The sequence below is a fragment of the Homo sapiens genome, chromosome 11, assembly GCF_000001405.40.
Source record: "Homo sapiens chromosome 11, GRCh38.p14 Primary Assembly".
Lineage (NCBI taxonomy): Eukaryota > Metazoa > Chordata > Mammalia > Primates > Hominidae > Homo > Homo sapiens.
In genome coordinates this window covers 107657197-107667647 of record NC_000011.10, presented here as the reverse complement: position 1 = coordinate 107667647, position 10451 = coordinate 107657197, and the positions used below count along the sequence as shown (strand labels likewise).

Below are 10451 nucleotides of genomic sequence, written 5' to 3'. Positions count from 1 at the left end.
TTGTTGATGCTTTTGAAACCTCTCCTCTTCTTTTTCTCACCTCACTTTGTGTGACTGGGTGGAATGCATCTTCCACAAAGTGGTGTGAATGAGAAATCTAATAATACTCAGAGCTCAAAGGAGCCGTCACAGCTTGTTCATCCTAAGATTGTGCAGCCATGTTCAAATACAATAGAAAGAAAGCATCCTAGGAGCTGAGAGGGGAAACTCTTAGCTTTGTTGGCGTCAACTATCTCTATCTGAACAGAAGAGACGCAAGCTGGTGTAAGTGCCACATGCTGTCAAGCCGTGACAGTGACATGGGACCACAATGGATAAAAAGAGACAATGAGCACATGTGGCTGCAAAGGCTGGACTGCATGTGGAATAATGCCTTCATCTACAGCAGCTGCAGCTACGGTGGAAATTCAGGGCTCCTCAGGCAGGCCTGAGGAACTAGGTTGACAAGTTCTCCCCTACTTGAGAGAGGAATATACATTCTTGTCATTACTCATGGTATCCACCATGTGCTAATCAACTCTTTCCCTTCCGCATTCTAAGAAGGGACACAGGACCATAAGAAAGGCAATGCAAAATGCTGCCACCTGGTACATGGCTGAAAGGGAAAGGATAATACAAACGCAGAAGGAAAGGATAATACAAACGCAGAAGGGAGAGAAAGGCCAAGAAAACAATGGGTAGTTAATGTTTCTGCTTTATCTAGCAACAGCCAAGCCAGGTTTCCTAGGAAGTTGTGAACCTGCTGACTCTGAATGATGGTGTGATTTATAGTCAGCTCCAGGTTGTCTGTCTTTGACATTCCATTCACTCACATATTTGCATATTCAGAAGCTGTACGAGCACAAAAATATTAATATGAAATCCAATATACGTTACAGTAGAATGACATGTAATTTATTCATATAACTGACAATTAGGCAGTACTCAAAATTCATTTAAATAAGCAAGTGGTTACACAAACATCTAATAATACTAAAATTGATAGTCAGAAGGTATAAAATACCATGGGTATGAAATGCCATGGTAAATACTATTCAACAGACTACAATCATAATTCCAAACTAAATCATGGTTTTTAAAATGATTTTTAGCAGTTCTGGAACAATTTGACTTTTCCCTTTCTAAGCAACTTACTTCTTCCACTGATACAAGACAAGGTCGTTATTTTCAAGAAATATCGCAGAGTGACTTAGCTTAGGTTGCTCTCTTGAAACACATTTTCTTGCAAATTGTTTTTTAATATTGCCCCTTGACATAGAAAACAAACTAGTCAGCACTTAGTTCCCCAAGCAAATATGCTTGGATCAGAACAGTGCCAGGGTGTAACCCAGTTCCGCAAGAGGCAGGCAGTGAAAAACCTTTTGCAGCTTTTGAAATATGCTTATTTCTTTTCTGAGGCTTCAAGCATCATACACTTAGGCATCCAAGCCAATGAAGTTATGGGAATAAAATAGTTTGATATACAGATGACTATGACACAATTGCAACTGGGGTGAGGGGAAGTTACAATATAATTTTGCAGTACTTCAAACAAAAACAGCTCCTACCTAAAGTTACTTCTTGTAAGCCTCATGAAGCATAGCTATGTTTGCAGGAACAGTTTGGCTTATCATGTGTCTGTCTGTACTATTTTATTTATTTATTTATTTATTTATTTATTTATTTATTTATTTATTTATTTATTTTTGAGATGGAGTCTTGCTCTGTCGCCAGGCTGGAGTGCAGTGGTATGATCTCGGCTCACTGTAACCTCCACCTCCCGGGTTCAAGCGATTCTCCTGCCTCAGCCTCCCGAGTAGCTGGGATTACAGGCACCCACCACCACGCCCAGCTAATTTTTGTTATTTTTAGTAGAGACGGGGTTTCACCATGTTGGCCAGGATGGTCTCGATCTCTTGACCTCGTGATCCGCCCGCCTCAGCTCCCCAAAGTGCTGGGATTACAGGTGTGAGCCACTGCGCCCGGCCCTGTTTTGTATTATTTTAAAGTCTTATACTTTATCAGAATGAGGTCCAAGCATGAACCTGGCTTGAAGAGCTAGCAGCAGTAGTCATGAAACATTTCAATAAATTAAAAGGCTTTCACAGAATGAGATTCAGCTAAACCTCTTACATACAAAATACAGCTAGAGAAATACAATTCTTTAATGCTGAATTATGAGGGAGAGGAAAAAAAGTCTAAAAAAATAGAAAACTCTCTCCATACCTGGGTATCAAGGCAAGATGTAACACTGCATAATGCCACAATATGAGCAGTCACTGGATGACAGATACTCCAGAAACAGTGGTCTCTGGGGATCTCGGAATTATGACCAAGAGATGAAAACACTGTACCAAAAGGCATGCATACAATCACTGTGTGCATTCAATGCGTGAGCTGCGACCTAAGCAGAGATCTAACAAGACAATGAGGCAGTGTTCCAGGGTATCCATTAAAACCGGCGTGGGCAACTACATGTTGATTAAACCTTCCGAGGCAGCAAAATGTGGGCACAGCGCCATGTCTGGGTTCTGCAGCTGTTTGATGATCCTCTTGCGGAATTTCTCCCTCACACGATTAAATTCCATTATGTCCATGGGGTCCTCTTCGATCCAAAACTTATGAAATTCATGCATCAAATAGCCTGTTGGAGACAATACAATGATAAGAATGCAGGAGAAAAAAAAATCCTTAATCACATTCAAAATCATTCTGAATGCTGAGGAAGATGCTGAACCAAGCCACAGCAACCGTGGAGCTCAAAGAAGACCTCAAAATCTAGAAAATACCACTGTTTAAGATTATTCTTTAAAATCAGTGCAGTTGAAGCCTACCAATCTGCAAGCTTTTTGCAATTGGCCCTGGAATCATTCTCACTCTTCCCAAGCAGGAAGACAAATCAGTTCTGCCATCTCTTGAGTATGAATCGCATCGGGAACATTTTCTGAAAGGCTGACAGTGACTACTTCATCCTTCTCCTCCTAATTAAATTAATGTGACGGTCCAACTTTTCAAAATCACTCCACTCGGACTTTATTCTCTTGATATTTGATGTAACTAAAGTTTTAAATTACCCCGACAAATCAAACAAATGCATTCTGACACTCTATTATGAGACAATAAAAATTGTAAATCAACCCTGAACAACACAGACTGGTCGTTAAACCACATGAAATTGTTAATAAGACTTCCTTGCTCTGAAGCAATAATTTCATATTCAAATCCTTTGGTGTCTCAAAAATGCTATCCACGAGTGATCTGGATTGAAACAATTTGGGGAATAAATGTTAAGTATTTGATATAAGAACCTATTCATTGTGCTTTGTTCCCCATTATGCCCCCTCCCACTACCACATTTGTTTAATTATTTTTATCTACCACATTTAGTATTGAAATATGCATAGTGTTTTTTTTTTAATACTAGATACTTGTAGGTAGTAAACTACTACAAGCTCAGGTGTCTCTATGTGTTAGAAAGAAAAGTACTTAAGGAAGTAATCCTAGTTTTAAAAAAAGAAAAACAGCCAGGCATGGTGGCACATGCCTGTAGTCCCAGTTGTTTGGGAGGCTGAGGTGGATCACCTGAGCTCAGGAGGTCGAGGCTGCAATGAGCTGTGATTGCGCCACTGCACTCCAGCCTCGGTGACAGAGTGATACCTGTCTCAAAAAGAGAAAAAGAAGACAAAAGAAAAACAAAGATTATGCAAAATTTTCTTTGTCTTAACATTAGAAGGAGGTAGAAAATAGAAGACAGGATTCTGGAGCCAGAAACCTGGTTTGAATCCTTGCTTTTCCACCTGCATGCATAAATGAAAATGGGGAAGGGGAGGATGAGAAGAGAATTTGGAATAAACACACTTAATTCTAATAGTACAAAAAAATCAATACTTTTTGTTTTTCTAGTAACTAGCTATGTATGGAAAAATGCTCAACATAATTTCATACATTTTTAAAAATCTTTACTCATATTTTATTTTAATACAAAATTAGGAGTGACCTTCACTGCCCCCAACACACATGGCCGGCTGCTGGTCCACTTCCACAGACCCTTCCCTCTGGTTACTTGTCTCATTGCATTGTTAAGCATGCTTATATTTGTTTAAGTATGTGGTCTCTCTGTAAATATAGGAGAAGGAGGGTTGGGTTGACTGTTCCATTTCTTTTTTTTTTTTAAGTTTATTAATTTTTTAGAGGAAAGATCTTGCAATGTTGCTCAGGCTGTCCTTGAACTCCTGGCCTCATGTGATCCTGCTGCCTCAGCCACCCAAATAGCTGGGACTACAGGCACATGCCACTGTGCCTGGCTTATGCCATTTCTTTTAGGACTAGCCTGCCTTTGGGCCCTTCACACACTAGAATTGACTGTTTTTAACATTTCTGATGAGGGTACACACCAACCATCACCCTACTGGCCTTGAGGTTACACAAGCCAGGGCCCCACTATCACTGTCATGGGAACCTGAACACATCAGAAAAGGCCCAAATCGGGAAGTATCAGTCACCCCAGAAGCCATCTCCTCTGTCTCTCTTCATCTGATGCTTGGATTCCCGGAGGCAGCATTCAGGCTTGAACTTCTCTGGTGACAACACTGACGGTTTGTTCCTTGGATGAGGAACCTGATTCTTAAAAGCTTGTTTCTTGCCAGGCACTGTGGCTCACACCTGTAATCTCAACACTTTAGAAAGCCAAGGCAGGAGGATCACTTGAGGCCAGGGGTTTGAGGCCAGCCTGGGCAACACAGGAAGACCCCGTTTCTACAAAAAAAAAAATTTTTTTTGAGACAGGGTCTCGCTCTGTTGCCCAGGCTGGAGCACAGTGGCGAATCTCAGCTCACTGCAGCCTCCACCTCCCAGGTTCAAGCAATTCGAGCGTGTGCCACCATGCCTGGCTCATTTTTGTATTTTTGGTAGAGATGGGGTTTCACCATGTTGGCCAGGTTGGTCTTGAAATCCTAACCCCAAGTGATCCACCTGCCTCGGCCACCCAAAGTGCTGGGATTACAGGTGTGAGCCACCACGCCTGGCTTACAAAAAGTTTTTTTTTGTTGTTTTTTTTTTGAGACAGAGTTTCGCTCTTGTTGCCCAGGCTGGAGTGCAATGGCACGATCTTGGCTCACCACAACCTCTGCCTCCCGGGTTCAAGCGATTCTCCTGCCTCAGCCTCCTGAGTAGCTGGGATTACAGGCATGCGCCACCACGCCTGGCTGATTTTGTATTTTTAGTAGAGACAGGGTTTCTCCATGTTGGTCAGGCTGGTCTCGAACTCCCAACCTCAAGTGATCCGCCCGCCTCAGCCTCCCAAAATGCTGGGATTACAGGCGTGAGCCACTGTGCCTGCCCACAAAAAACTTTTTAGAATAAGCTAGCTATGGTGGCTTGCACCTGTAGTCCCAGCTACTTGGGAGGCTGAGGCAGGAGGATCACTTGAGCCCAGGAGTTTGAGGCTTCAGTGAGCTAGGATGGTGCCACTGCACTCCAGCCTGAGCAAGAGAGAGAGAGACTCTGTCTCTAAAAAACAAACAAACAAATAAAGGTTCTTCCTCATTCTGGGCCTAAATCTGTTGCCCTGTATTTCACAGAACAACTTCAATCCTTCCCCAACTCAAGTGTTTGAAGTGTGCTTTATGCCCTGAGCTTTTCTCTTTCACTGCTTCTCCTCATCATTTCTCATATGCCATGATTTGGAGACTGTTTGTCATCTGGTTGTCATACTAGCTATGTATGGAAAAATGTGCACATCAACAGAAACTTGTTTCCTCTGATCTCAGTATCTTATTCAACCAACCAAAAGAATTCAATCACCTGTCCATTTCAGTGACTGGGCAAACTTCTAAAATATTCCAAGAATGATCTGCGGTACTTGTTAAAAAATGCAGATCCTCCCAGATTTAACCAGACTTGCAATTCAATAAGATGAAACTTGTGTCACTAAAGTTGAGAACTTTGGTCAAGAAGATTCTCTTTTTAAAAAGAAAGTTTCCTTGGCTTCCTCCTAAATATAATTTTTATGGTTCTAAAATAAATCTATGATAATTTATAAATCCTTCTTTCCTTACTATATAAAATACATACATAAATTTTCCTGACTGGTCTCTGAGCTCAAATAAACACATCTATTTTGTACATAGAGTCAGGTTTCCAATACTATGAATTAAAATAATCGATAATGCATCTCATTAGTATTTCATGAGTGACAGCATCTTTTCTCCTGTTGACAATGATAAACAGGCAATATGAAAAATCATCTTTTAATGAAGAATTCATTTTTCTGCAATATACATAAATGTTCACCTTTCTACAATGTGCTGGAATATTGGCAACTCACTCTAAAGGTGATGTAGTGTGGCACGGTTACAGAAGAATGTGGATTCATTTGGTTTCCCCATTTTCCTACCTTACACACAATTATAGAAAAACATCTTGAAAGGTTTAAAGGGCTTGGGTAAGGGTAGAGGAGGGGCTGGCTCACAATCTGACGCCATGCTCAGGATTCTTCCTCCGAAGATTGAAGACTGATTCCCTGGGACTCTCTTTCTCTATCCCATCAGGAAAATAAGTAAAGACTGTGTAACATGATCTTAATCAAAATGCAGAAATGGTGGTCTGGCTTCCAAGGTGCATATTATAATCATAAAGCTCCACTCACTTATATAAATTACAGTGTTCAAAAATTCATTTGGTCTGATCTGTCAGTTAACTCATCTGCCGATGAACAAATATGAAACAGACACAGTACTAGGTATTGCAGATGAAGAAAAAGGCAGACTTCCTGTGCTCCCTAATGCTGGGTCTATTGGAGAGAGGCAAACAGGAGTATAATTGCAGCTGATGATTTGTTCGCTATGGAAGCTAACAAAGTGGCATGGAAAGGAGAGGGAGAAAACAGAGGCCAGGCTATTTTCCACCATCTCATTGCATTCTTACAACAGCTTTGTGGAGTAGGTAACACAGATATTACATCTCCATCTTTCAGATGCAGATATTGGGCTTAGATGAGTTCCTTGAATGGTCTACAATAACAGGTACAGCTGGAAGCTGGAAACGAGGGCCTGAAACCAGCTGACTTTTCACCACGGCAATAGGCTGCCTTTTCCAGTACATTCTGTTCCTCTGGTTCTTATTCCTATGGAATAGTTCCTTCTTTTGGAGGTCAAAGAAAAAAATAGTTTGCTTTTCCCCTTCTGGCGTTTGTACTTTCCCTTCTGCTCATTACACCTAACCTCACTCCATTTCAATGGGGCTGTGTGTTCAGTGGAGCTTTAGACTGAATGCAATTTTTGTAACATAGTACCTTGGCAGCTCAGTGTTCACCGAATAATACTGTAACGTCAGAAGGATGGAGCTATTATATTCTTCTATTCTTCTACCTAGATGGAATACTTGTTTTGAATACTAATTTGGCTCTCTGACTCCAGCCTGCAGCATATTTGTTGCTGCTTGAATGTCTTGGTTTTGCTTCACTGCATTTGGTTAGTAGAGAGCAGAGACATATGCAAGGACACAGGTAATTGCAAGAATATTACACAGGAGACGTGCAGAACTGATCATGTCTGATTGAGGAACAATGAATCTAGGGCACAGTTTGTTTCCCTTAGAGAGGCCTGAGCCCCTCTGCCTACATACACCACAATCCATAGGGGGATTGCTGCTGCTTCCAAAACCTGATGAGGGCCTTCGGAAATATGTAATCCTATTGCATACTTGCTCATCTGGGCTAGGATTCTCTTGGAAGCGTATCAATCCAGGCCAAGACTAATACTTTTTTCTTTTGTAGAGATGGAGTTTCACCATGTTACCCAGGTTGGTCTCAAACTCCTGGGCTCAAGTGATGGTCCTGCCTCAGCCTCCCAAAGTGCTGGGATTACAGGTGTGAGCCACCGCGCCTGGCCTAAGGAGAAAATTTCCCACAGAAACTAGACTCTCCTTTCTCCTGCAAAAAACATCAGCCAGTATTTTAGCCATCCATCCATCCATCCATCCATCCATCCATCCATCCATCCATCCACCCACCCACCCACCCACCCAACCCCCCTCTAGTTACTGAGCACCTTTACCCTGTACCAGGCTTTGTGCTGAGGATACAGCAGTGAAACCTGCCCTTAAATGCCAATTCTTTATGATTCTAACTTTGACTCTTTCCTGGGAGTGCTCCCCCACTGTGTGGCTCTGATATTCTCCCAGGTGCTGATGAACCACAAATCTGTAGCTAGAGCCTTTCTAATCCTTCAGCACTCCAGAGCCCTACATTATGAGAATGCCCACTCTGCAGCTCCATATGGATTTCCCAAGAACAGCTCACCCTCAGTATGCCTAAAACTAAACTCACTCTACCTTCCCTCAAAACTACTTCCCTGATTTCTCTAATGAGCATGGTAAATACAGAACAGGGCAAGTATAAGGGGCCAGGGAAACACGGCAAGAGGCTTTCTTTATCTGGATGTTGATGCTGTTTGACGTGGCTTACAGAGCTCTTCAGGACTGCCCTCCAACCTGCTCTTAGGCTTCCAGTGCCATCTCTAGTCACCACCCGGCAAACCCTATGCTCTATTTCTTAAATCCACATACTCTTTTGCTTTATGGCCTTCACCGGACCACTCAGCCACCATTGCCTTATTTCCTGCCACTCATTCTTTTGGTCTCTTCAAAAGTGGCATTTGCTTTGGAGAAACTTCCCTGACTTCCAGGCTGAGTGAGCTAAGGCAGCCACAGACTTTTTCAATATTTATTTATTTATGAGATGCAGTCTCACTCTGTCGCCCAGGCTGGAGTGCAGTGGCACAATCTCGGCTCACTACAACCTCCACCTCCTGGTTTCAAGAGATTCTCATGCCTCAGCCTCCCGAGTAGCTGGGCTTACAGGCGTGCGCCATCACACCTGGCTAATTTTTGTATTTTTCATAGAGACAGGGTTTCACCCTTTTGATCAGGCTGGTCTTGAACTCCTGACCTCAAGTGATCTGCCCTTCTTGGCCTCCCAAAGTGCTGGGATTACAGGTGTGAGCCACTGTGCCGGCAACTTTTCCAATTTTTAGAAGCAGTACCTTTACTTCCTCAATCACTAAATTCTTCCCACTACATTTTATTTTTTTAAAGACTTTTTTGTTTCCCTTAAGATAATGCTGGACCCACTACATTTTAAGTATTTGTTTAAATGCCTGTCTTCCTCAGCATAGAACCTAATCTATAGTAAAATCTCAATCATATTTGTTGGAGATGCTCAGAATTTTTATAGGAGTGAATATAATCATCCAATTATCAAAGCAGGAGCTGTGATAATGTATGTAAGGGACTTACATTTTCCATTAACAAGTTGTAAAGTATATGTGTTTATAATTTACTTTTCATTTTTATCTAAGTTATACATGCACATTGTTCAGAATCAAATAGTTTAACAAGTCTTGTTACAAAAACGAAAAACCAAAAAAACCCCCAAAACAAAAAAAAGCAGTCTCCTGCCCTAATTCCTGCTTTCCTAAAGCAACATTTCAATTCTTTTAGCTGATTATTTTGGTTATTGATCTTCATAGCTCTAATCAACATGCTTTCCATTACTTGATTAAAAAATTTTTTTCTCTATAGGAGATAAAGATTTAGCTCCCGCTCACTCACCCCAGCCACATAGTCACTTATTTTCTCACCCTTTTCTTTACTTTGTATTAATAACTGCCTTCTTTTGTTTATTTGCCTGGCTTCCCACTTAATTTAAGCCTAAACTGTCTTCTATATATGCCAATGTCTTCTCAATGTGTTCAAACATGGTAATATTCTGTCAATTTCATGTTCTTCAAAGAGTCTCTCTCACGGCCTTCTGACCTTCTAGAATCTAAATTTATTATTTGCAGCCAATTGCACAGATATTTTGGGCTTTCCCTTCACTGTTCTCCTGGGATAGATTTCCTATTTTCTAGACCCCATTTATTCCTTTAGGATTACTCTCTTATTTTGTGGAAATAAGCTTCCTGATAAAGGTACAGAGAAGTAAAATGTTTACGACCTTGCATTAAGAAACTGTCTTTATTCTATTCCCATACTTGATTGGTAAGGTAGTAAGTTATACTGGGTGTAAAATTCTAAACTGGAAATCATATTCCCTTAGTTTTAAAAGATATTCTCTTAACTTTGATTGACTGATTGATTGATTGAGATGGGGTCTTGCTCTGTCACCCAGGCTGGAGTACAGTGGCACAATCATAGCTCATAGCAGCCTTGGCCTCCTTGGGCTCAAGCGATCTTCTCACCTCAGCCTCTTGAGTGGCTGGGACTACAGCTGGCTAATGTTTTATTTTTTGTAGAGTCAGGGTCTCGCTATGTTGCCTGGGCTGGTCTCAAACTCCTGGGCTCAAGTAATCTTCCCGCCTCAGCCTCCCAAACTGCTGGGATTACAGGTGTGATGTGCAGTGCCCAGTCTCTCTTAACTTTTGAAGCCAATATTCTATTTTTTAGAATACAACGTTGCTGTTGAGAAGTCCAAT

The 10451-nt window shown here is 41.5% G+C and overlaps 1 protein-coding gene across 3 annotated transcripts in view; it reads right to left on the bottom strand.

The window, feature by feature from the left end:
- Positions 1 to 868: 868 nt before the first annotated feature.
- Positions 869 to 10451, bottom strand: part of ELMOD1 (ELMO domain containing 1) — a 75633-nt gene continuing 66050 nt past the window's right edge. For all 3 annotated transcript variants that reach the window (NM_001308018.2, NM_018712.4, NM_001130037.2), the window contains one exon: positions 869 to 2623. In NM_001308018.2, the coding sequence (NP_001294947.1) occupies positions 2451 to 2623 (173 nt within the window). In that variant the 3' untranslated portion in view covers positions 869 to 2450. The remainder of the gene's footprint in view (positions 2624 to 10451) is intronic.